The sequence below is a fragment of the Homo sapiens genome, chromosome 20 (genome assembly GCF_000001405.40).
Source record: "Homo sapiens chromosome 20, GRCh38.p14 Primary Assembly".
NCBI classification, from domain to species: domain Eukaryota; kingdom Metazoa; phylum Chordata; class Mammalia; order Primates; family Hominidae; genus Homo; species Homo sapiens.
This window is the reverse complement of record NC_000020.11, coordinates 8,629,588-8,656,931: the sequence shown is the minus strand read 5'-3', so window position 1 is coordinate 8,656,931 and position 27,344 is coordinate 8,629,588. Positions and strand designations below refer to the sequence as shown.

Below are 27,344 nucleotides of genomic sequence, written 5' to 3'. Positions count from 1 at the left end.
TTTTTCAGTTTAATTTAAGTTTAAGAATTGTCTCCTGCTAAAGGGATGTTAATGCAATTTCCTATATACATTTTCTAAAGCAAGTTAGATCTAGGAAAGATAGTCTGTTTGACAGAATTATTTTTAGGTTTTTTTTTTTTTCCTACTTGAATCTTTTTTTTTCTTTTTTTAAGTAATGACCCTAGAGACAGACATAGTCAAAATGAAAACATAAATTCCAATTTTGTGTCAATTATTTTCAAACTATGTTCCCTCTGGTTTAAATAATCTGATAAGTTGTAAAACAGTTTTCATAAGTAGGACAGCACCAGTCATTATTTTTTCACTGACTGCTCCTGGTCCTATTGTTTAGGAAGCAAGTCATTGATATAAAAGGCCACTTCTATGACTTATTTTTCTGTTTGGTTGGGCTGCCATGGAAACCGGAAGCATGTATTCAAGCCTTTGTTAACAGGAAAGACATTTTTCATGCAGTCTTCCTATTTCAGGTATGTGTTAATGTGATTATTTTTATTTTTCAAGCCCTTAAACAAAAGAACACACCCTTCCTTTGACTATTTTCATAGGTTTTGAAATGTACAGTTATACAAATGTCTAAAAATTATTGTCTGAAGTTGTTCACCACTTGCAAACAGATAGGAGAACTTAGCTCACCACTTGGCAGACAGCAGAAGACCCGTATTTGTGGATTGAATGAATGAAGTAATATTTCCTTTGCTAAATCCATTTACAGAGATAGAAAAAATCTATTTTGCAAAACAGAATTTTGAGACAACCGAACAATACATGAATCATTATACATAGATGTGTTGTATCATTATAACTTGGGCTACTTGGGCACAAACTTTGAAATAAGCACAAGCGGTCAAATCCAAGAGCAGTGGGGACTTCTTGTGAATTGTTTTATTAGTATTTTGCCATTCATAAAAAGGGAACAAGTATAACCTGCAAGCAGGTTTCCAAAAGTCCTCTTGATTTATAGAAAGAGAGAAATCTCTTTAGCCGGAGAGTGCTCACTTTTCAGTACCACCCTCTCTCTAAGTGGACACCAGGAGCTCTGTAAATGGTTTTAATAGATGAAAATGACCCTATCTACCATACTCATTGGCTGTTAGACACAAGGAAGAGAAATATTTAAAATCAATTGCAAGAACATGCTCAATGGCACTGCTGGCCAACTCAAGTGCCTCCAGCTTTACTGGATTTTATGAACCCCAAGGGTGTTCTCCTATTTTCCCTACTAAAAAGAGTTCACCTCATTCCCCCTTTCACCAACTTCACTCAACGTACACATAAATTAATTTGATCTAAGGATAGCAATAATTGTCATCCTTCACTTACTGACCTCTCTTTTCCTTCCCGTCTATTTATAACTTCTTTTTCTGGAAAGCCTTGCCTTCCCCTTGAACTGGATTTTGTCTTCCAGTTGTGCACACATCACACCTTGCATGTCTCACATTTCAACACTCAATGTATTGTGCTCCCAGCTATACAATTCTGTCTAGTCTTTGCTAATCTGCAGATGTACACGAGCTAGGATATGTGTCTTGTCTGTTAATGGCTCTATTTCCAGTGTGCCACATACAGTAGGTATAAATAAATATTTACTAAATGAATGGATGTAATTTATTGAGAAGTGTGGAGAAATGGATAGCGAGCACGCATGTGCTGTTATTTCCTTTGAAATATCAAATTTAACTAACATCATTTACGTAAGAGTCCTGACACATAATTTGATAGAACAATATGCTTTACTAAAATCTTAGCATTGTTTATGTACCAGCTATGAATTAGGAGGAGTCAAATTAAAGAGATAATCTGAATAAACACAACATTATTTTCATTGCGAGTTGGATGATAGCATATTGAAGAAAGAAAATATTTCAATACAGCTGATTTTCTTTGTCTCATTTTTCTCTTGCCCAACTTGACTGATGAGGATACCCCAAAGTCTTTGGGGTTAGTAGGTGAAAATGGAAGAAAAAATGTTCCATAAAGAGGAGTTAAAATAAGTAAGCATCATTAAATGCTGAGATGAAAGGCTATAGGGGAGATGTTTAGGTAAAAGCTATGGATAATCCCTAATTCCTTGCATCTTAAACAAGACTGAAATTCACAAAGCTAATTCACAGACTTTCTCTTTCTCAATCTCACAGCTTGGTGAAGTGAATGGCACGGATTCATTTTTCCTGTTTGTCTAGGAGGAAATCCAAGGTCTAATACTCTAAAGATCCTGCCCAATGTTCAAATATTCCTCCGTGAACCCTTCCTGACCACATCAGCTAGACATGACACTACTTTTTCTTTGTGTTCACAGTCTCCCTTTATCTATCTTCATCATTGCATCCATTTCACAGCTTTTCCTTTATTTTTTATATTTCTTATTTTCTACTGAACTATGAGCTTTTGAGTGACATGACAATCTCTTATTTAATTCCTTTGTGTTCCCAGCATGGTGCCTGGTATATAATAGATACCTAATCAGTGTTTGCTGGATGAACCCAGGAGATGATACCAGACCTTGGGTCTTCTGTTTTAATCCAGGACGTGGTCCATCACATCAGGCACCCAATACAAAACGCACTGTCAGTGATGACTTGTTGTTGTTTGGCCTTTTTGAAGGATGACTTAAGAAGGCTAGTATAATCTAAATTAGTAATCTGAATGAGGCCCATTTATTTTAGAAACTGCAAAGTACTGGCAAACTTGAAAAAATGGAAGTGTTTCAATACCATGCTTATATACAAGGAATCTCAAAAGGGAAAAGATTTTAACAATCTTGGTGGTAGTACTGGTGGCATTTGCATTTCTAGATTCCATAGACCTGGTAATGTCATATCCAAATGCCAAATTAAAAATAAAAACAAGATCCCCCCAATATATGCATATGAAAAATACTCAAAATGAGAATAATAATTAGCATTTACAGTATATCAAACATAGTTCTATGAGCTTTACTTGAATATTTTCATGTAATCCCATCAACTCTATGCAGTTGGCATTATTACTGTACTACTTTTATAGATAGGAACACACAAGTGCTAGGAGGTTACAAAACTTGTCTAAGGTCCTGGGTTGAGCAAATGGGTGTGATGAGGTCACAATGACTATATTTTGAATCTGAGTTGCTTAATTCTATACCTTATACTGTAAACCAGTACACTAAATATTCCTATTAGTTTTGGGACGGTGGTCTGCATTTTCTTCGTTATATATTTCTTGATTTAAAAAATAATTATATGAGAAATGGGTACTTAAATTTCGGAAAAAAATCAGAAAAAATGTTATTTTAAAATATATTAATTCACTGAAGCAGACTCTAATGAATAAAGTCCACATATAGACTTGTTTTTCTTGACAAGTTGATGGACAATTTCCCAGTAAATTCAGAAATTCAATATACTGTCAATATTTTTATTCTGAAACTATAAATAAAACATTGAATTAGCCATGGAATACATGAAATAACTACAAGTAAATCACTCATAATGAACGGAATACTTAATTTGGTTTTAAAGTAGAATTTTGATATTAGTCATATTAAGAATCACAACTACAAAAGTGATTGCTTCTGATTTATATTCAGGATGTAAGGCACAGAAGAAAGGCAACATACTAATAAGTTACACACAGAAGTTATTTTATACATTTTATTCATAGTATTTAGTAAAATTTATACAATTCTTCAAATTTAAAATAATTAATTTCTCTTTGTATTACATGTGTGCCCACCAACTACAGTAAACTTTATTATTTGAAACAAATACATGGGTTTATTCCTGATCTTCTTCGTTAAAATGCAACTCCGTATGCCAGTGCTGTGGCAAGACTATTATACAATTCCAGATGTCACTGAGCTCTTTTCAAGTTAATAAGCCTTAAATCAAGGGAATTTGGTGCAAATAAACTATTTTCAGTTCTCAGAAAGTTTGTGGGTAAAGTGGTAATTTTTTGAACACGGAACAGTTTTCAAGGGTCTCACTGGAAAATATGCTTGGGTTGTTAACAGAAGGACAGTAATTGCTTTGTCTCTCTCTTTGGATACAGTACTACCTTTTAACAATTAGGGTAACTTCAGGCTAGCAACTGTGATTTCTAAAGAGTAGCATCTTCTAAAGGAATATGTTATTCTAGTGGATCACGTCAGCCAGGATACAAGTTCAAGTGCCTTATTTATCCCCAACAATGTGCAGTAATATCATGTTTTAAAAAGAAATCTCAACAGGACATCCACTGTGTTTCTGGTAATATATCTATTTACAGAGCACAATTAAATCTAGCTTAAATGACTTGGCTACAAAATATGCTCCCATTTACGCAGAACCAACTATGATTTATATAACCCTTTTCTTCCGTGGCTTGTTTAAAATACCTCTTGTGAATATGGCCAAAATTTTTTGCTAATTAGTGGATATTTTCTAGAGTCATTGTTATGTAGGAATGAAATTATCACAGAGATTTAAAACAGAGTTTTGATACATCATAGTCAGTTCACAGAAACATTTATTTCCTAGCTCTGAAACAGTCTTTGGTTTTTAGATTTTTAAAAAGCATTCTAATTCTATAAGTCATCCAAGTAAATTATACTTTACTATGAATAATAATTTTTCAAAGTTTTAGCATAGAGGTTTTTTAAAGTTTTCTCCAACTTCAGATAATTATCATTACATTTAATTTGTTAGAGATAATTTTTTCTAATTTAAACATAACTCATGTTATTTGAATCTCATTTTCCTTTTAAATTTGCCTGCAATTGACATTGGTCTGAAAGTTTGAACATATAATAAACATAGTAGATTACTCAATGTGTATTTATTGACTGCTCAGAATCCAGTTGTTTAGAAAATTACAATTTACGGGGAATTGGTTCATACATTTAATTTTCTATTCCTTCTTTCCCTTAGCTAGATTCATAAGTTAAATATTTTGATTATTATATTTTACCAGAGGTTATCCAGAAAAGGTAAAATCAGAAGTGATTGCAAAAGGAAAAAAATTCTTTGCATGTCTTTGCAAATCCATCTCTCATGTTTTCTCTTTATGCTTGAATGCGGTGGTCTTTTCTCAGTTGCTTAAATCCAGTAGGGAAATTATTTCCAGCCTCAGGGATTTGCGAGCATTGTTTTCTTTTTCTGGAATGAGCTTCCCTTCTTCTCAATAGTAGTTCTCCAGTCTTTCTTTTTATAGCACTTCCCCCAGTTTACAGACGCATTTGTTGGCATGCTTATTGGCTAGTTTCCCCAGAAGACTCTATTGTCCTTGAAACCTTGAGTTTCATTTTCTTCACCACCATATTCTCAATGCCTATGGGCACATAGTAAGAGCTCAAGAAATATTTGTTGAAGTCGGGGACAGGACCTTAATTGTTATATTTTTCCTATTCCAAAGCATCTAACAAAAAAGCAATAGCAAGCAGGTTCAAGCATTTTATTTTGCTTTATAAAATGAAGGTGAAAATGTTTTGGGGGAGCCTTTCCACAGCTCTGCTCACTTTTCGCAGCCTCATTAGCTTTTTCCACCTATAGAAGAAAGGTGATAGTGAAGAGGTGCTCTTATTTCTTTCTTGTGACCCACCAAAGTTGTTAATGAACTTTGCTGTTTTGAAAAGTCTTCACAACAATAATTGGCTGATAAATTTAACCATAGCACTCAATACTTTTATAATTCAATCATAAGTCTAAGAATGGCTTTGCAAACTTATTCAGTGCAACTTGAACATTGCTGGCACATTTTGAGGGGCTCAAAGGTTCTTCCTATAAAGTCATGTTACCCTTAGGTAAAGGCTTCCTTGTTGCTTAGATACTCAGATAAAAATAATGAAAGGAGAGCTCTGCACGAGAAAAAAATTTTATGCAATGGACTTCCAGAAACAATAGTAACAAATCATTTTAGAGCCAGTCATGTAGAAATGAATCAAAATGAAAGCAAATTATTTTATTTGAGGTGGTTAATGTATATGATGTACCTTGTGTGTGTCAGGCATAAAAATGAAAGCATGTTACATGCTTGTCCTCTCACCTACTTTACCACCGTATGAGCAAAGTAGGTGTTTAGATCCAAACTGTTTAGATCCTGCACCCCCTCAGTAAAAACTTTCTGAGCACAGCTCTGTAAAGTATGTAAATATATTTATTTATAAGCACATAGCAGCATACTAATTGCTTACATAGCTTATACATCTTAAAACTAAACATTTTAAAATGCTAAGGTGAGATGAAATTAATATTTCAAATATCTTCCTAAACATAACGGCTTCACACTGATCCAGGGCTGGAAAGCCCCAAAGTAGGGCTTAGCCTGCGAGGGTTCTTGGCTTCACTCAGGAAAGAATTCAAGGACGAGCCAGTGGTAGGGTAGAAGAAAATAACTTTACTGAGGCAGCAGTGTTACAGCTCCATGCCTGTTCCCGCAGAGCAGGGCTACTCCATAGGCAGTGTGCTCAGAGTAGCAGCTCAGGCAGTTTTGAGGTTGTATTTATACTTACTTTTAATCACATGTAGATTAAGGGGTGGTTAATACAGAAATTTCTATGATAGGAGTGGCAATTTTTGGGTCATTGGATCATTACCGTGGAAAGCGGTGGTAATTCCTCGGTGTTGCCCTGGCAATGGTAAACTGACATGGACATATCTTATGGAAAGCTGCTTCCGCTCCCCCTGTTTTAGCTGGTCCTTAATTTGGTCCGGTGTTCATACCCCACCACCAGAGTTGAGTCTCGCCTCCTAACTCAACACTATCATTAGCTAATATCTTAAAAAAAACATCAAGAAGGGTTTATTGTTAATAAGTTTGAAACCACATTTCAAATTGTCATCTTGATAATGTTAGCCTTTTTTGACTATTTTAAAAATATTACCTGATTAGGTGACTTTTTTATCTACAAAAAGCAAGGGTCATTCTAGATTGAAATACTGGGGTTATAGGAGTGAAAAGAGGCCTCACCAAGTCTTGGCTGTTTCTAGCTAGCTCTATAAACTTTTTTCAGCCTCTGTTCATTACCCAGTTCCAAAGCTGCTTCTACATTTTCAGATATTTGTTATCAGCAAAAACCCCACCTCTTGGTACCAATTTTCAGTCTTACTCTGTTTTCTGATGCATATAGCAGAATACTTGAAACTGTATAATATATAGGAATCAAAATGTATTTCCTACAGTTACAAAGGCTGGGAAGTCCAAGGTGGAGAGGGCACATCTGGCAAAAGTCTTCTTGCTAGTGGGGACTCTCCACTTTGGCAGAGGTGGCACAGGGAATCAGATGGTGAGGGGGAAGAACATGCTAGCTCAGGTCTGTTTTTCTCTTCTTATAAAGCCACCAGTTCCTCTCCGATGATAATCCATTAATTCATTAACCCATTAATCATGGAAGCTCTTAATTTCCTCTTAAAGGCCCTACCTCTCAAAACTGTCATATTGGGGATTAAGTTTCAACATGAGTTTTGGAGGGGCTGAACATTCAAACTATAGCATAACACACATGCTCACCCTTGAAGATGGAAGACTACAAGCCTCTAAAGCAGTTTCAACTCGCTTCCGATCTGCTGAAAACAAGCGATATATGCTGTGAAGTGAACACAACAAAGGAGAGAGGTTTAAATGGCACATGGATCACAGCACTAACAGATGATGCCAACTCAAAATATTCCATTCAGTCAAATCTATTTATTATTCATATTTAAAGAACTAAAAGATAACCATTCCTCCATGCATTTGCATCTGTCTTCTGAAAGATCAACTGCGTGCTTTTAAAATTAAGGTGTCTAGTATAAAATCAGTATTTTAGGATTATGGTGCTGACCCAATTAAAAAATATTGCATTAAATAATCTCTAATATTAAGCACTAAAATAAACATCCTTATTAATTCTGTCCCCTTGCTGCTACTACCCATTGCCCCAAGGTGTACATTGCATTATTAATAAATTTAATTTTTAATTTGTTTACTTTTAAATTAATTTCTTTTCTTTTCTTTCTTTCTTTCTTTTTTTTTTTTTAGAGACAGGGTCTCACATTGTTGCCCAGGCTGGAGTGCAGTGGCATGATCCCAGCTTACTGCAGTCTCCACTTCCCATGCTCAAGTGATCCTCCCACCTCAGCCTCCCTAGTAGTTAGAACTACAGGCATGTGCCACCACACCTGGCTAATTTTTAAAAATTTTTGCAAAGATAGAGTCTCACTATGTTGCCTAGGCTGCTCTCAAAATCCTGGCCTTAAGCAATCCTTCTGCCTTGGCCTTTCAAAGTGCTGGGATTACAGGCATGAGCCACTGTGCTTGGCTTAATTTGTGTATTCGCAGAAGCTTTCTAGTAGCTTGTAAGTCAAAAGTTAAAGACTTTTGGCTGGATATGACCTAGAGATGGACTTTTTTTCGTTACTAATTTGATTTAAAAATAGAACTTAAGTACTGGACAATTTAATATACTAATTTAGGTTTATGGGTTCTATAAAGACATTAGACAATCTAGTGTCAGGTGCTCACCAGTCCCACAGGATATATGGTGGAGATGAGCTGTTGTCTCCTTTAGACAGGGTTTGCTCTTTAGTTTTTCCTCCTCCTCCTGACCTGTTTCATCATTTACATTCCCTGCCTGGCTCCAGTTAGCATCTGAGGTTGCAAACCCTGCTTGAGGGCTACAGCCATCTTGGTAGAAAGAGGCACTGAGGTCGGCCAATTTCCACTCCTAGAACAGATCTGAATCTCAGATGGCCTTTCGGCCTTAGTAGCAAGGGTCCCTCCACTTCCTCCACCCACTTCCTGCTTTGGTATTTCTTGAAAATAATGCCAGAGGAAAGGGAAGCCCCGGGGAGACGTCTATGAGGAAAGCAGCTGCACTGACATGAGACATGTGTGAGGGAGGACAGGGCTACCACGCATTTCCACACTCCCACTTAGGCTGCTGGAGAAACAAAACAGAGCCATGGCATGGATTCAGATCTTTGAGGAAAATAAAATGAATAATGAGAAATGCTCACAAAGCTTACTTTTTGAGAGGAATACGCCCTTCTGGAGTGACTTGCAGCTTAAGTTTAGTATAGCTGTTGGAGAAGCAGAAAAACAAGGGTTTGATTTTTTTAAAAAAGCTTTTTTTTCTTGAACAATAAAATACACTCAAAAAAGCCCATGCCTTTGTACATTTTGCTGAATTTCCACAAACTGCCCAAGTCTCCACAGTTGGCACCCAGATTAAGAAATAGAACATTGTCACTTTAGCAGCATTCCAGAAGCCCTTCCCAAACGCCCTGCCAAAGGGAACTGTTATCCTGACTACAAATAGCATAGATTACTTTTGCCTGTTTTTGCACCTTACATGAAGGAATCATACTCTTGTGTTTGGCTTCTTTCACTCAATAGCATGTTTCTGAGAACTAACCATATTTTGCTTATTGTTTGCTTATATATTCATTCTCAGAATGAGAACTCTAGGTCACTGTTGATGGATGCATACATTGGGAATTCTACTTCAGGAAGCTGCACACGCTAAGGCCCAGCAATCCCAAAGCTAGATGTGTGCAACAAAAATATTAACAATATGTTCACTAAAAGACATGTCCATAGTAGCTATTCATAGGGAGACATCTTTCTGGAATAGACATTTGTAGTAGAGATTGATTAGCCAACTAGCAATAACATGCTATGTTTCAGATAAAACATGTTATTTACCTCTGTGTCCCCTTTCACTAACATTTCATGGAAGAATGAATGTTCTAGAAACATTGTCTGGAAAACATATTCTAGAAGAAGGATGATAAAATCAAAGACAAGGTAAAAACATAGAGGAAGAAAGGAAGGGAAGAGGTGGAGGCATGAAGGAAGAGTCCTTAAGTTAACAAACTCAGGAGAGGAGGCGATCCCATAAAAAAGCCCTTAAATGAAGACCTGAGGTATTGACTAAAAGCAAAAGGAATTCATAGAAGAGTAAAATAAAGGAATGTGGCTGAGGTATTAGGTCTGGAATGATGGGTATGTCTTACATAAGAAGAGGGAAGACAGAACTCTGTTAAACAAAATAGAGGACCACCTATTAATGTTTCTACTTGTGGTTTTGATTTAAAGACTTCCTAACCTCCTGACCAACCACAGCTTCCAAAATGAACACAACCAGCTTTCCTTGCTGCTCATCTTGCCTAAGTCATTATTTTCCTTGGTCAAACAATTTTTAGAAGGGCTGTGGCAATTCCAGAGTGATCTGGCAATTTGTTTTGCTTTTCTTTCCTTATTTTCCTTCTTCTCTTTCCTTTAGATCCTTTCTCTTTTCTTACTAATACTTGCTGGGATCATCTACATGGGATGGAATCAGGATGTCAGCCTATTGATTTAAGTAGTCAGGAAAGGTATTGTAGCATCTATCTATAACTCTACAGAAATGAGGAACATATGCTGTTCCTCAGATTAATAATTGAGAGGACACACACAGATGTAGAAGCAGAGGATTATCTGAAATTAATAATTTTTAGTTCTGAGCACAGCTGCCAGGATTTGGAAGTGTCTCTTTGTTGTGTGTCAAAAGCACTGACATTCATGCGAACTTAGCCCAGGTGTAACACAGATGTGCAGCTTGGAGGAAAGAGCAATCTTTCTTGGAAGTCTTCCAATTCTGAACAGGGGAGGTATCAGTTCTCTAATAAATCCCAAAGGAAAATTTGTGTTTATCAATGTGAGAAGTCAGTATGGCATAAACGGAAGACTCACAAAGGAGAAAGGAAACTGACTCAGAAGAAGCAACGCCCTTAGCAATAAAATTAGAGTGACTTACGCTTTTTCCAGAAATGCATCCCTGGACATGTTTTGGGCCAGCAGGTTTGTTGCCAAACTGAAAACCTCATTTGTCCATTCCTGAAAAATGTAAATAACACTTGCATTAGCTTAAATACTGCACAGTCATTAGACACATGCTTTTAGCTTGGCTTCCAGGAAGACACATTAGTTCAATGTGCATGCCAAAGGTTTTTTGTTTTGTTTTGTATTATTATCCCTTTTTTGGGTAAAAATGACATAAGTAAATTCAAGTCCCTGAGAGACTACTCTTTTCCAAAGGAGATGTTCTTTGTACATAAAGGTTTTTCTGCTTTTTAAAATTTGTATAAATAGAAAATTGCTCTGTTTCCCTTCAATAACTAAGCACATTTTACTATTTCCTTGAATTATAAACAGATAAAGAGTCATTAAAAATTTAAAATATGATCAAATATGTTTCCAGCAGAACATGCAAACATAATCTTCCTGCTCTACTACTCATGCCAAAGCAGCTATATCTGGTATCTTTAACTGTTAACTACAGTTCTAGAAATTCTCCATACCATGTAGTCACAAGGCCACATAATATGCAATATTCTCCCTTCTCCCAACACTGTCAATATCTCACTAATCTCCTAATCATAATCCCTACCTCATACCAGAAAGCAATGATCTCACTAGGCTTCCAAGATAATGGAAAAGAGCAAGTCTACAAAAAAATATAGAAGTTCCATTCTGCGTGATTATTTGAAACACACAACACATTCTGGGCTGAAACCCCTACAAAATTCTCCAAGAGAAGATGACACAAGACCTAGGTCATCATCTGATATTGTTGTAGTTGACTTGGCTCCCTCTTCAATGAAATAATGTCTTTATTTTTTTTATTTTTTTTTATTGATCATTCTTGGGTGTTTCTCACAGAGGGGGATTTGGCAGGGTCATAGGACAATAGTGGAGGGAAGGTCAGCAGATAAACAAGTGAACAAAGGTCTCTGGTTTTCCTAGGCAGAGGACCCTGCAGTGTTTATGTCCCTGGGTACTTGAGATTAGGGAGTGGTGATGACTCTTAACGAGCATGCTGCCTTCAAGCATCTGTTTAACAAAGCACATCTTGCACCGCCCTTAATCCATTTAACCCTGAGTGGACACAGCACATGTTTCAGAGAGCACAGGGTTGGGGGTAAGGTTACAGATCAACAGGATAAGAATTTTTCTTAGTACAGAACAAAATGAAAAGTCTCCCATGTCTACCTCTTTCTACACAGACAGGGCAACCATCTGATTTCTCAATCTTTTCCCCACCTTTCCCCCCTTTCTATTCCACAAAACCGCCATTGTCATCCTGGCCCGTTCTCAATGAGCTGTTGGGTACACCTCCCAGACGGGGTGGTGGCCGAGCAGAGGGGCCCCTCACTTCCCAGTAGGGGCGGCCGGGCAGAGGCGCCCCTCACCTCCCGGGCGGGGCGGCTGGCAGGGCGGGGGGCTGACCCCCCCACCTCCCTCCCGGACGGGGCGGCTGCCGGGCGGAGACGCTCCTCACTTCCCAGACAGGTTGGCTGCCGGGCAGAGGGGCTCCTCACTTCTCAGACAGGGCAGCTGCCAGGCGGAGGGGCTCCTCACTTCTCAGACGGGGCGGCTGCCGGGCGGAGGGTCTCCTCACTTCTCAGACGGGGCGGCCGGGCAGAGACGCTCCTCACCTCCCAGACGGGGTCGCGGCTGGGCAGAGGCGCTCCTCACATCCCAGATGGGGCGGCGGGGCAGAGGCGCTCCCCACATCTCAGACGATGGGTGGCCGGGCAGAGACGCTCCTCACTTCCTAGATGGGATGGCGGCCGGGAAGAGGCGCTCCTCACTTCCTAGATGGGATGGCGGCCGGGCAGAGACGCTCCTCACTTTCCAGACTGGGCAGCCAGGCAGAGGGGCTCCTCATGTCCCAGACGATGGGCGGCCAGGCAGAGACGCTCCTCACTTCCCAGACGGGGTGGTGGCCGGGCAGAGGCTGCAATCTCGGCACTTTGGGAGGCCAAGGCAGGCGGCTGGGAGGTGGATGTTGTAGCGAGCCGAGATCACGCCACTGCACTCCAGCCTGGGCACCATTGAGCACTGAGTGAACCAGACTCCGTCTGCAATCCCGGCACCTCAGGATGCCGAGGCTGGCAGATCACTCGCGGCTAGGAGCTGGAGACCAGCCCGGCCAACACAGCGAAACCCCGTCTCCACCAAAAAAATACGAAAACCAGTCAGGCGTGGCGGCGCGCGCCTGCAATCGCAGGCACTGGGCAGGCTGAGGCAGGAGAATCAGGCAGGGAGGTTGCAGTGAGCCGAGATGGCGGCAGTACAGTCCAGCTTTGGCTCGGCATCAGAGGGAGACCGTGGAAAGAGAGGGAGAGGGAGACCATGGGGAGAGGGAGAGGGAGAAAGAGGGAGAGGGAGAGGGAGAGGGAGAGGGAGAGGGCTATTTTTTGTATTTTTAGTAGAGACGGGGTTTCACCATGTTAGCCAGGATGGTCTCGATCTCCCGACCTCGTGATCCACCCGCCTCAGCCTCCCAAAGTGAAATAATGTCTTTTAGTTTAATTGCTTTGCCACCTGTTTTTTTGTTGTTTCTACTTTTGTTTGATTTGTCTTTTTTTTGCTTCCTGACTTAAGGCACCGATAATACGCTGTCATGTGTACAGTAACATTCAAGATGGAACTGGAGGAGCAGGGAACATAGAGTGATGGGGAAGAAAAGAGGGAATCCCGAGCAGAGAAAACTGGGAAAAGAACTAGAGGTGAGCTAACATGGCAGGAGTTAGAGCAAACAAAAAGTAGTCTAATAGGAATTAGAAAAGAGGGAGGGGGTTGCGACAACAAACTAGAGTTGTGGTCAGAGGATAAAGAGCATTTAGGTGTCTGGAGATAAATTAGTAAAAAATGTGATGCCAGGGCTAGGCTGCATATCAGACAGATTATCTGGCAGCCAGGTCAAGGATGGATTTGAGGCTGAGAATCCAAAGAAGGGTAACTCAGTTAGGAAGCTGTAATAGTCCAGTAGTCCAGGTGAGAAATACTGAGACCTTGAACTCTATATGTTGGAGGAGGACTTAAAAAGACAGTACAGAATAGCTGCAAGAGAGAAGCAAAATTATTGCTCACCAAGCTTTATGCCGACACAGAAGAGCATTTCACAGTAACTATCTAACAAATTAAAAATCAATTTTCCTTAAAATAGATAATTTTAAACTAAGAATAATAACCACTGGTTTCAAAAATATGTTTCTGGTATAATATTTTGTAGGCTCATGGCCAAGCTTTAGACATTTCTAGCTCCATGCCAACTTTCTGCATTGGTAAAAGTATCTATAACTGAGGGCAAGATACAGTTTTGTATGTTTACCAGAGGCTAGTTTCACGCCAGAAAAAGGTACAGCATTAGAAAGAGTTGGGGAGATTTAACTACACAGAGTAGTTTCATTGCCCTAAAAATTCTCTGTGTTTCACTATTTATCTCGTCCTCTATTGAATTAATATTTAAAAGTTACTGGGACATATAATAATTTTAAACAAGATATTTTAATATTGGTGAGACATGTAAAGGTCCTATTTTTTAATATTTTATATTTGTTTTTTATTTATTGGCAAACTCCTATTGCTGTCATTGATAATGGTGTCATTCTGATTACCTCTACTCATAAGGGGGTGGCAGTGTGTGATGTGAGTAAGGAGGAACATTGTGTGATTCAGTCAGTGTTGCCTCACCTGGCTGAACACATTTCTGTCACTACTGGCATGCATCAGAATTCATCCTGCTGAGCATTTAATGTCTTAATGACGCAGTGAAGAATCTTTTCATGGTGAAAGATGGTACAGGAGCTGGAAAGCCTTTTGTTAAAATCAGAAAGGACTATCTGATAACTGACTGCACTTTTGATACTATACTGAACATCTAGAATTTTGGAAAAAATTCTGGTATAGTTTCTCTGTGGATCTTATATCATAGTCAAAGTGCTCTCGTTTTTATCTTATACCAAAAGAGAAATGATTGCCAATCATACATAATTACAAAAAAACCCAACTAACAAAAAGCTAGGAAACATATTAGGACTCAATATTGTCATGATTAGGACAACTAGCATAATAATATTACTCAAATCAAGGAAAGATGCATAATTATTTTCAGATCATGTTATTCAAATGTCTTTAAGCTACATCTGACAAAAGCACAACTCAAACTAACTTAAGAAATAGGAGAAAGTATCAAGTGCAATGGGTCGTTTCCTGTAATTGAAGGAAAAACTGGACAAACTGCAGCCAAAAAATGCATTTATAATAAATACATGATCATCAGGAATTTGGAGACTGAATGCAAAAGGGCTTTCTTGATTGCTATTACTCTGCTCTCTTCCTGAGGGCATTTTTCTTTTCCTTACTGACGGGTTCTTCCCCATGGCCACCAACTTCACCAAGAGTTGTCACATATGGTATCTTTCACCACCAGAGAAGGTCTGGCTAATTCCTCCATTTTCAGTAACAAGAATGCTGGGAAAGGTCTGATTGGTCTACCTCTTGAACAATCAATCAGGTAAGAACCTAGCAGTGTCCACGACAACCAAGTAATTGGATCTGGGAAGGAAGCAATGACCAGAAGAGGGGAGAGTATAGCAAACATGGCATATGCCCATTACCTAGGAGTCCTGTGGGAAAGCAGACGGAAGGAAAGGGTGTGTGTTGTTTCATAACTTATGTGGGATCTCATAGTTCTGCCTCGCATTCTTTTTTATAAAATAGGTAATAGATTCATAATCACTGAGTTGACTGCATAAGTGAATGTGTAAATGAAAGAGACTGACTTCCATGCTTTATGATTTATGTCTTTTGAAATTAATTTTTATATCTCCTCTATTGTTATAAGTTTCAATAACCATTCTTGGCTAGAGGGCTTGTAATACTGGCTTTATGCATTTCTGTTGTAATGTGAACTATACTGGAATAGTTTACAAACATTAGGAGTCCTGGATATAACATGGGACTAGCAAGCTCTCCAATTAATAAAGTACAGAAGCTTTTGTGTAAGGGTTTGGGCATCTATGTTGGCTATGTAGACATACTTATTATGCTTTGGTTGATGTTTTGGGCTGTATTCTGAAGAACTGTTGTTCAAGTATCTTTTTTTCAGGTAAGTGAAGCAATATTCTTCTAAATGGTATCCTGATACTCTAAGGAAGAGTTCAGGCTGCCAGTTCTAGTATGTCCCAGTCTTCTTGACATTCCTCTGCCAAATGGGAAAAGTTTAACGTGGTGAAATGAAATGAAAATGAACTTAAAGAAAATTCTTCCACGGGAAAAATTAAAACTCCCCCAAAGAGCAACGTCCATGGCACAGAGTAGAAGAACGGAGAGATGTTTGTTTCTGTTGAAGTTTTCACAATGAGACGACTGCAGCTGTATCACTGGGAGTCTCAGGTGTATTCTTAGCATCCACTGGGGAGACCTCCTCCCTTCCCTCCTCCTAGTTTCCTGAGTCATTATTCATTTGTACAACTGAGAAAATGCTAATTGTGTGCTCATATACAGAACCCCCAAAGTTTCATTTTTGTGGATTTCATGTCAATCCCTCACATTCCTGAAATGATTCTTCCAACAGTCTCATGTCATTCTTATGAAAACACTTGCTATTATGCCTTTGAATCCTAGCAGTCTCAGTGTTAATTATTACTTTGGTTGTATCTGCCTCGGTGCTGTGTACCATAGACAATAAATGTAAGCGGGGTCTGTAATTATAATTGATATCGTTGTTCATTACAAAAATAATTCCATTTGAAGAGATCACATAAAAAAGGATTTTAAAAGAAAAAAGCACTGCTAATTTCCTTAGTAAGATGTATGTGAAACAGAAAAAGGGGAGCAATCGCAATTCTTGGGCATTAAGCATGCTGCTTATCTGCTTATTATGAAAGCAGTTCGACAATCTTAAAACTGCATTACTTGAAAACTGATTAGTGAACGAGGCACAGGTAGTTCCTCATTAACTTATAATTTAATGACAGAATTCTGCTGAAATATAATTTTCTCATTTGGAAATAAATTTGTTTTAAATTACCTTAATTATACCTTCCAACTTTATTTTAAACCTTTTTGCAAGCTAGATTCTTCTCTTCAAATGAAGAGGGTATTTTGCCCTTGGTAACTCAATCCCGTTAGTTCTTCCTCTGCTATAAGAACGATTCTTTGTCTTTGGCCTTGATTGTTCCATCTTTGACCATTCTCACTGCCTGTGAAGGTCTTGGAATAGTGACTCTTAAACACAGTTTTTTTTTTTTTTCTTGTCTTCTAATTTAAAAGTAAAATATTGATATCAGTTTATTTAATGGCTCTTCCTGACTTTCATATTGCAGATCCTTGTTCTAGCTTATCATGGTTATAATTTATTGGATTTCAGAACACAATTCTACCATTTTCTAGCTGGGACCTTCTGCCAAATGCTATCTCATATCTATTTTATCCTTCTTGCCTAACAGAGGCCCAACAGTGCTCAGGCCAATAATATGTTCAACTGAAAAAAAAATATCCATTTTCCAATGTCCTTAGCAGCTGGGTGACCAACATGTGCCACATGGCAAATCACATGTAAGCAGATGCCTGCTGGAGGGTTCTGGGAAAATGTGTTTCCTGATATAGATCTCTTTTCCTTTTACTGTAGGGAATGTAAATGGAAAGGCTAGAGCTACAGAGGCATCTCGATCTATGAGAAAAAGGCCACGAGAATCATAGGGGCCTCACTCAGCCTTGTTATCCCTGAGCTCCTGAATCAGTGCCAGAAACCACCTGTGGAGTCCTAATAAGATAAGTAAGCAACAATGAGGAAAGGGCCCTAGGTTGGGGAGAACAATCTGAGATGGCTAATCACAGACAACCCGCTGGCACAACACTCTGTTCCCAAATAGCTCCTTCAGCACGTAGTCCCAGTAACTCCAGAAGCATGACCTCATTCTGCACATAACCCCTCCATCATGACCCTATGAAACTTCCCTCCAATCCCTGCCTCTTTGCAGACAGCCCCTTCTCTGCTGTGCTGCCCACTGCACCTTTGCAACATATCTTCAAACTTTCTCTAATAAATCTGCCTTTCTTTACCTATCACTGTCTTGGTAAATTCTCTTACCACCCACAATGCCCACCCCAGGCAGTGGCACCCACAACACTACCTTCAGGGTTCCGGCTACATGAGAAAAAAAGAAAAGAAAAGAAAAACTGAACAAAACACAAATTAAAAATCCTTAATTTGTCTCAGCTATTGTTTGATTTGGTTTTCTGTTACTCCAGGCCAAATGCAAAGACAGAATCATGTTGGACAAGTCTTTTTAAATTTGTCCTCCAATATTCATATATCTTATAAAATGGAAGCAATAATAGAATTTATTTCATAGGGCTTTTGAGAGAATTGGGATAATTCATGTTAGACCAGTGACAGGTGTAATATATGCTTGTTAAATGATAGTAACCTAAAAAACTATTATTTATCGATGAAACAGAGACAGAGTTTCTTAAAAGTTGTTCAGAGGGGTTGGAAAGGCAATGATCACTTCTACGTCCTAGTTCTGTTTCTTGACAACTATTTTCAGCATTTCTATTCTTAAATTTCTGGGGTTTACTTACACATTTCTATTTATATATATGGGTGTGTAATGCTTTTTTCATGTGTGTGTGCGTGTGTGCGTGTATAATGTTTTTCCTTGACTGATTTTAGAATTTGACTATAATATCCTGCTCTGATTGAGGAGGCTTTAAATCTCTGATTCCATCTCTCACCTGCCCTTTCTCCTTGCTTGTGATAGAGTTCTATCACTTGTGCCCTTTCCTCCCTGTCACCTCTACAATCTCAAGCAACATACTCAAACTCTCTTGATCCACTCATTAAAAATAGTATCCCTTGGCTCCTTTATGATAGGAGGACATTTACCTGCCATTCCTTTTACTTCCAACTCTCGTTAGCTTAAACTCACTTTTAAATTGTCAGTTTTTGGCTGGGTGCGGTGGCTCACGCCTGTAATCCCAGCACTTTGGGAGGCCGAGGTGGGCGGATTGTGAGGTCAGGAGATCGAGACCATCTTGGCTAACATGGTGAAACCCCGTCTCTACTAAAAATACAAAAATTAGCCGGGCATGGTGGCGGGTGCCTGTAGTCCCAGCTACTCGGGAGGCTGAGGCAGGAGAATGGCGGGTGAGCCCAGGAGGCAGAGCTTGCAGTGAGCCGAGATGGCGCCACTGCACTCCAGCCTGGGCGACAGAGCGAGACTCCGTCTCAAAAATAAATCAATAAATAAAATAAATGGTCAGTTTTTATCTTGTTCCGCATTCATAATTATGACTTTATTTGCATATAAATTGATTCTGAAAGTTTAAAACAAATATAATAAAAATTTACATGAGTATGAAATTGCAACTATAATTTTCTGCTAGGCCATATATTAGAATATATCAGATTATTTGTTTCAGTTCCAACACCATAACCCACATGGCTTTCCGAAGGGAACATTCCTAATAACAAGTATATATTTATCTTTTTAAGTTCTTTTTTCAGTTTTTGAAAATCTTACATGTTTTAGCATGGTTTATATTTGGATAATACATTTCTGGTACATTTATCCCCACCCTTCTACTTTAACTTTTTTTTGGAGAGAAAAAAATTAAGTCTTTTTCATTTATCTGTCATCTTCCAGTTTCCTACTCATTACCTGAATCTACTCCATTCCTGTACTTGCTATTTAGACTTTAAGACCAGTACTTTTGTTTAGCTCTCAGATATTTTCTTGTAATATCTTCCTTAATTTCCCTCTTCTGATTTCACCTTTTCATTGGCTGATTATGCCTGTAAATATTTGTTGAATGAATGAAAATTATAATATAGTTATCAGGAAAATTACTAGCAAGGTATTTTCAAAAAGTATTTTTAATCCTTAGTGCCAGCTTTTCATTGGGCATCATTTGGCTTAACTACTAAAGATGACAACCAATATCAAGGTAGTAGGTGAAACAGATCAACCTGCCTTTCTCAAAGTATGTCAGTATTCCCCTGCCAACACCAATATTTTATATGTGGAGGGAGAAATTTAAACAAGGAAGCCAGATTTTCTTAGAACTCCTCTTCCTTCCAAAAAGTCACGGTGATTTTTTTTTTTTTTTTGTGGTGCTCATGTTCTTGCTTCCAGGCTAGGCACACCGGTAATGCAATCAGGGCTTACTTAGCTGCCAGGCATCAGAAGGTAGGCAGATGGAGGTATGCAGAAGAGTAGCTTGTCTCTGCAATGGAGTGGATGGAAGGAAAGAAGAGATGCTATTGCTGATGCAGTTTTCTGTTTTCTCTTTCAGGGGAGAGGTGGGCTTGTACTAACAGTAACCCACAGTCTGAAATCACAGTCATTTCTATGTCTCAGCGTTGACATTTTCCCTTCAGTTTGACATTAATTGTTTTTATGTGGGCACCATTGAGCACTCTCTGGCTCCAAAAAAGTTCTTGTCTAGCAAATGCAGAAAAGACACCCAGGAGACAGAAGGCAGGGGTGCTTTCTTCCACAGTCACCAGAATAGCAATTGCTGCTGCTTCTGTGTGTGTAAGGGAGAGACTGAAATCCAAGTTGCCCCTTTTTTAATAAAAATCTTTTTAATACGAATGTCTTTCTTTTGACTTATGAGCTTTTAAACAAATGTTCCAGATAGACGATGTTTTCACAATATAAAAGTTTAAGTTGTGCATCCTTCATTTGCCTGACACATATCCAAAATGTGCAGAATGTAGAGTAAATCTCATTCTCCAACAAAGGACACCTACCAGTATAAAATTCCAAGACAAATAGTGCAATGTATTGACACAGTAAGAATTTGGTCCTTTTTATGATTGGGTGGAAGAATAGCCTAAGATGACACAGGCATTTTTTTTTAATATAATAAGGTCAGGAATAGCAGGTAATGATGATCTCACAAAACACAATAACATGGATCTAACTTTTCATGTTTGCAAACAGTGATCTTTTTGGCACATGTATTCTACCTGCAAGGAAGTCATGCACAGTTTTCCATTATGTCCCAAAACAAATTGCTGAACACAATTTATGGCACCACCTTTTCTTTTTTCTTAATCATTTTTCATTTAAAGTCAAACTTACAGCTACTGCTTACTCATCATAAATTTGTTTGAAATTCAAAATAGAAACGAGATAAAGCACACATTTTGTACAGAATATACGCAAGTGTTTCAAAATTCTTACCTCAATGCATATGTTCCCAGAATAAAAATAAATATAAGAACCTCATGTCTCTTGAGGTCACTTTTAAATAGCTAATACTATTATTTTAGGGCAACTCTAAGAAAATTCCTGAAGTTTTTGATGAATGGCCCGGAGGTGGCCTTAGCAGAACCCTTCACTTGTCCCTCTTTCTTTTCTATTTCCCACCTTTATCCCATAGACTATAATTTCTTTTGCTTAAAAGAAATTCCCCTCTCCGTGACATCTTCTCTCATTTCCTTATCCTGAAAGGTGTCAACTATTTGGTAAATAGAAGCTATTTTTCATTTGCTTAAGAAAGCGTGGAGTAACTGCTGGGTAGGGAAGTGACAGTCACAGTAACTCTGAGTGGGAATAAGGTTAGCTTTGGGAAAAAAGATTAGGAAAATGGAAGCCATCGTAATGAATGCCACCTGGGTCCTCCTACTGAGAATCCTGGCAAGCTGGAGAGAGAATTATTCTAGGAAAAGCCTTAAGCAACCAATCTGCTAAGGGGCCTTAATTTCTCCCAACTCTAAATGAAAAGATTGCAGCACATGGTGTTAAAAGCCACTATGACTCTAAGATTGTACGTGACCTATCACTTATTTTCAAGAGTTCAAAAGCCTCCCCTTTTCCTTTTCCTTTTCCTTTCCCTTCTCCTTCCCCTTTCCTTCCTTTCCTTTCCCTTCCTTTCCTCTCTCACACCTCTCGCATTTATTGAGCCAAGCACTAAGCTAGATCCTGGGAACACAAAACAGACTAAACTACTGTTTTTGACTTTCATCAGCTCGCAAATACAGGATAGATTATAAGACACACTGATTGATAATTACAGTGTAATGACTGTAATTGAAAATATGTTCAAGGTTCACAGAACAACAGATGAAAGAACAATGGGCTATGCATGGAAGTCATGAGATAGAGCGAGAGATGGATGAACTGAGTTGATGCTGAGTCCCTCGGGAGGCCTAGGACTTTTCTTGGTGGACAAAAGAGAGAAAGGCAGTCTAGGAAACTACCATATTATAAAGGCATTAATATTACAATTGTAAAGGTAGAAGAATCACAAGTAGTTAGGAGCTGCTAGAACAGAATGGTGCAACAGTCAAAGTGGTGGATCATCAGTACCTGAGGGTAGGGACTATGTTGGGTCACTGATGAATCCTCAGTGCCCAGCGAGGTGCTTGGCACATACTAGGCCCTCAATAAATGTTTGTTCACTAAATGCACAGAAACTTCATTTTGCAGGTAATAGAGAATGAAAATGATTTAAAATATGATCAGGAATGAGTTTGTTGTTTTAAAAGGCCATTCTTATGCAGATGAGCAGGCAGATTTGTAGAGCAAAGTGTGAGAGAATTTCAGGAAATAGGTAGGTAATGACTATCCATGAGACCTGTCAAGGGCTTAACAAGATGGCAGGAAGAATGGGGAGCAGGAAAGAGATGTGAGAGCTAGTTAGGAAATTCAGAGAGCTGGTGTGTTATCTAGATTGTGCACAAGAAACTGATATAGACGAAGTTAACGAAAACTTCCAGAAAATCTCACTCATATCCTTGAAATAAGTGAATTAGACTCTCCAAGATACTCACAGCTACAGAGGGGGAAGAATCTAAAATTACAAACATTAAAGACTAATGTTCACTTTATATAACATATTTTTAGAGAGCGCATTTCTTCTGTGACATGACAGCTACTTCAAAATGTAATAATTTAACCTACAGAGATCCTCTGATAAATTTTTCTTTTATGTGTGAAATAATATTAAAAAATCAAAATGGCTCAACAAGTTTGAGAAAAGGACAGTATCTATCAAAGCAGTACACACAAAGATCTATGACCAGTCATTACACTCCAATATCTAGCTCTCTGAAAGGCAGATGTTTGCAGCATCATTATTTGTAGCAGCCCTAAACGTACAACTACAAGAATGCCCATGAACTGTAAGTAAATTACTGGCTACTACTTAGCAAAGAGAATGGACAAACTACAATTACACAGAAAATATAGAAGAATCTCATAAATCTCATAATATAATGTTGAATAATAGAAGTCAGACCAAAAAGACTTTATTGTATGATTTCATTTACAGATATTTTAAAAACAGGTAAGACTAATCTATCATGTTAACTGCCGATATAGAGGTGTTAGTAGGGTGGATATCTAGGGTGCTGGTTATGCTCTGTTTCTTGATCTGGATGTTGATTAGGTGGATATATTCCTTTTTCAAAACTCCATCAGGGTATGGAGTAAGAAACTGTGCACTTTTCTGTGTATGCTACATTTCAGTAAAACATTAAATAATCTGGCTCAGTTCCCATGAGCATGGCATTAACTGGCTGCCTCCTCTCAGCTTCTGTTTTTCTGATTCTTTTTATGTTGGACTGTCCATGATTCAGCCCTTGGACATCTCTATCTACAGTCACTTCCTGGCTGATCTCATCCAGCTTCATTAAAAAGTATGATGACTTTTTAATACAATCAAATACCCAATGACCCCCAAATTTACGTGTTATATTTGGCACTCACCTCCAGGCTCATATATCCAACTACCTACTCAAAATCACCCAGTTGAGTATTTAATAATAATCTCAAACTGAACGTAACCAAAACTGAACTTCTGCTATATACTTCTAAACAAAAAATTATATTCTATTTTATATTTTCCCTATGTCAGTAAATGATATTTCTATCTTTTCCTCTTGGGCCAGAACTTTAACATCGTCTTTGATTCCATGCATCTTTCTTTCACATGCAACATAAAATCCATAAACACATGCCATCACTTCCTTCTTTATAATATGTGTGTGTGTGTGTGTGTGTGTGTGTGTGTGTGTGTGTGTGTGTGTACATACATGCAAATTTGGATTCCTTTTTATTTCCTCCACATTCCACGTTGGTCTAAGTCATTAGCAACTCACCTAAATATTTCAATAGTTTGGTAACGAATCTGCTTGCTTCCATTATTTCCCCTCCCCCATGCGGTCCATTATGGATTAAATGTTAAGTCAAATCACATCTGTCCTCAGCTGAAACCCTCTCGGGGCTTCCATCTCACTCACAGTAAAAGCCAAAGTCCTTCAAAAGCCTATGCCATCCTACAGCAAAATCAGTTGCAGTTGCCTCCTCAGTTCCCTCTGCTACTACCTTCCCTCAATCTTGCTTACCCAGCTGCTGTCACGCTTGCCCTTGGCTGTTCCTAAAGTACACCAGACTATCTTTTGCCTCAGGGCTTTTGCACCTGCTGTAGTGCAAGCGCAGTGCTGTCTCTCCAGACATCCTCCTGACTTATTCCCTCACCTCCTTCCAGTCTTTGCTTAAGTGTCACTTCCTAGAGATGGCTACACTGACCACCCTATTTAATGCCCTTTTCCACTGCACTCTCCATCCCTATCTCATTTTTGTCAATATCACTCTCTTCCTAATACACTGCGTGGCTGACTTCTTTATTTTACTTATTGTGTCTCCCACACTAGAATGTATGCTCCACATCGGCAAGGGTCTTTATCTGTTTTCTTCACTGCTTGATCTCCAGTATCTAGAATAGGACTTGGCACATTGCAGAAGGCTTAACAAAATGTTGTTGAATAAATGAGTGAACGAATCCAAGTTCTTCATTTTATGGATGAAGAATGTACCCAAACTGTCAACGGGCTTGAAGGCTCATATCCATTTGGCAGAAGAGTATTGCTAACATTTCTCATTTATAGACATCTTCTCTAGTGCTCTCTCCCGTTTACTGTGTTCCTTCCTGGGGCCCAAATTACAGAACTCATGAGTATGAGTTCTGTGCCACTTAGTTCCTTCTCAAAAAGAGTCAAAATTATGGCCTTTCAGGGGAACATATTTTATTTGCAACAAAGTCTTACCTTTTTCAGCAGGCAAAAAAAAAAAAAAAAAAAAAAAAAAAAAAAAGCAAAAAAAACCCATATTTGTCTCCTCCAGGAGTAATTTCTCATTTGCTTGGTTTTCATTTGTTGAATTAATGGGTTGAGTGTTGTAAGGACATTGTGTAGTGATTGTGTTCTTCTTGACTTTTAAATTTGGCCCAAAGGCATGATTTGTCTCCCTTATTCTCTAATTTTCAAGTTACATGTTTAAAAATGGAACCTGGAGACATCCAAAAGATTTTCTTTTTATATTATTCTGTCTCTCTTTCCTTTATAGGGGATGAGAGATGCTGTGGTTAAGAATAGGATCCAATCTAAGTCACAAAAAAGTGGCCTATTATAAAACTTCTGAAAAATTTCCACAATGACCATTAAGGGGGCAGATGGTTCTCTGTCTACTGAAAAATGCTGTGCTAAAAGGTCACATTTCTTAGGCACCCAGAGGGCTCTAGGAATGGTTTGGAAGTTAGAGAATGAACAAATGTGGTGGAGAGTGCTGATTCTGCTCTGCAAGATAATGTTACGTGCTTCCCCCATTGTATTCAGTGGTCAGGACCTGAGGTTTTATTTAGCACAATGTTTTTCTTACTTAATGTGAATCTAGACCAAAAAGCTGCCAAATGGAAGCTCCCAAGTCTTACTCAGACCATAGTTAATGTTTTTTTGGTTCACATGGTGTTTTTAAACAACTGTTGCCAATATTTAACACCTTTCATGGATTTTGCAGCTCCTTTTAGAAGAAAATTCAAGATCTGGCAACACTGTGCCCAAGCTTCTCTAAGGAAGAGATTGTCAAAGTGTGGTGCCTGGACCAGCAGCATTAGCATCACCTGGGACCAGTTAGAAATGAAGATGCTCAGGCTCCATCCCAGACCTGCTGGGGCTGGGGCCCAACAATCTGTGTTTTAACAGGCTCCCTGTGTGACTGTGATACGTGATGCTCCAAGGTAACAGTGGTACTTGCAAATCTTAAGTTTCTGGCTGAGCACTTTCAGTGTGGGGGAAAATACTCTATAGAACATCACAGCCAGGGAAGGCAAAATATTCTCCATAGCTTCATTAATTATACTGGGAACATCAAGTAGCCCCTGGGAAAATCTCTACAGATGCACTCCTGAGAGGGAATATTACAGGGATTGGAGATAAAAATCCCTAAGGAAAATTAGTGGCTAGTAACCCACAGAGAAGAGGAAATTAAATATATTTTAGATAGGACTGCACAAAGGCTTAATGCAACTTAAGATATGCAGATTGATGTGTAATATAAATATATTTACTCTTAGCAAAAGCTTCCCTGAAAGCCACTGCCATTTATTGCATGTTTTTAATTGAGATTTAGTGCATCCCATAAATTGGTCACTTTTTATAAAAGGAATATAGTTCATTTGGGGAAACATATTTTAAAAATATTTTGCAAACACTTAGAATCTGTTTTTTCTGTATTAATTTATCCATCCAACTATCCATTCATATACAGCAAAATAAAGTATATGTCACACAGACAATGTTCATTGAACTGAAATCTCTCCAAGTATAAATGATACTATAGAAATAAATGGGTAACTTGGCTTATAAAGAGAGAAAGTAGATTCTGTTTACAACATACTTGGAAAGAGTAGTTTCTAAAGACATTAGAATATTAAAACTGGTTGGCATTTTATGCATCCCATTATAAGAATTAAAGTCAATATTACATAAGTGTTAGAAATAAATCCCTGCCAATAATCACTAATGACACAGAAACCAGGACAATCAAGACCATCCTGGTCAATATGGTGAAACCCCGTCTCTACTAAAAACACAAAAATTAGCTGGGCATGGTGGCATGCGCCTGTAGTCCCAGCTATTCGGCAGGCTGAGGCAGGAGAATGGCTTGAACCCAGGAGGCAGAGGTTGAAGTGAGCCAAGTGGAGTGCAGGAGCCACTACCTGCACTCCAACCTGGCGACAGAGTGAGACTCCATCAAAAAAAAAAACAAGAAAGAGAGAGAGAGAAAAAGAAAGAAAGGAAAGAAAGGAAAGAAGAGAGGAAAGAAAGGAAAGAAGAAAGAGAAAGAAAGAAAGAAAGAAAGAAAGAAAGAAAGAAAGAAAGAAAGAAGAAAGAAAGAAAAGAAAGAGAGAAAGAAAGGAAAGAAGAGAGGAAAGAAAGGAAAGAGAAAGAAAGAAAGAAAAGAAAGAGAGAGAGAAAGAAAGAAAGAAAGAAAGAAAGAAAGAAAGAAAGAAAGAAAGAAAGAAAGAAAGAAAAGAAAGAAAAGAAAGAAAAGAAAGAAAGGAAGGAAGGAACCAGGCCAACACATCTGGTGTAGCTCAGAAAATCACCAGAGCACTGAGGGTTAAAAAATTGTAGATCACAATACTTAGACAATGCACACTGACATGAAGTGACCCTGTAGTTGTGATGCATGACATGAGAAGCTCTGTAAGGCACATATATTATATGCAGAACTCAAAGTTTTCTTAGATTCATATTCTCA

The 27,344-nt window shown here is 38.5% G+C and overlaps 1 protein-coding gene and 1 long non-coding RNA gene across 5 annotated transcripts in view; one reads left to right on the top strand and one right to left on the bottom strand.

Moving 5' to 3' along the window:
• Window positions 1-27,344, bottom strand: part of PLCB1 (phospholipase C beta 1) — a 752,635-nt gene that overhangs the window by 227,969 nt on the left and 497,322 nt on the right. For both annotated transcript variants that reach the window (NM_182734.3, NM_015192.4), the window contains exons 5-7: window positions 10,751-10,830; window positions 8,979-9,032; window positions 7,483-7,558 (exon numbers count right to left, since the gene is read on the bottom strand). In NM_182734.3, coding sequence (NP_877398.1) covers window positions 7,483-7,558; window positions 8,979-9,032; window positions 10,751-10,830 — 210 coding nt within the window. The remainder of the gene's footprint in view (window positions 1-7,482; window positions 7,559-8,978; window positions 9,033-10,750; window positions 10,831-27,344) is intronic.
• LOC105372521 (uncharacterized) lies at window positions 175-25,659 on the top strand. 3 transcript variants are annotated; one of them, XR_007067520.1, is made up of 3 exons: window positions 175-488; window positions 13,384-13,508; window positions 17,417-17,495. It is a non-coding gene; the product is annotated as an uncharacterized LOC105372521 (long non-coding RNA). The 3 variants fall into 3 exon arrangements; XR_007067521.1 differs by lacking the exons at window positions 175-488; window positions 17,417-17,495 and adding exons at window positions 12,248-12,285; window positions 25,599-25,659; XR_001754734.2 differs by lacking the exon at window positions 175-488 and adding an exon at window positions 12,248-12,285.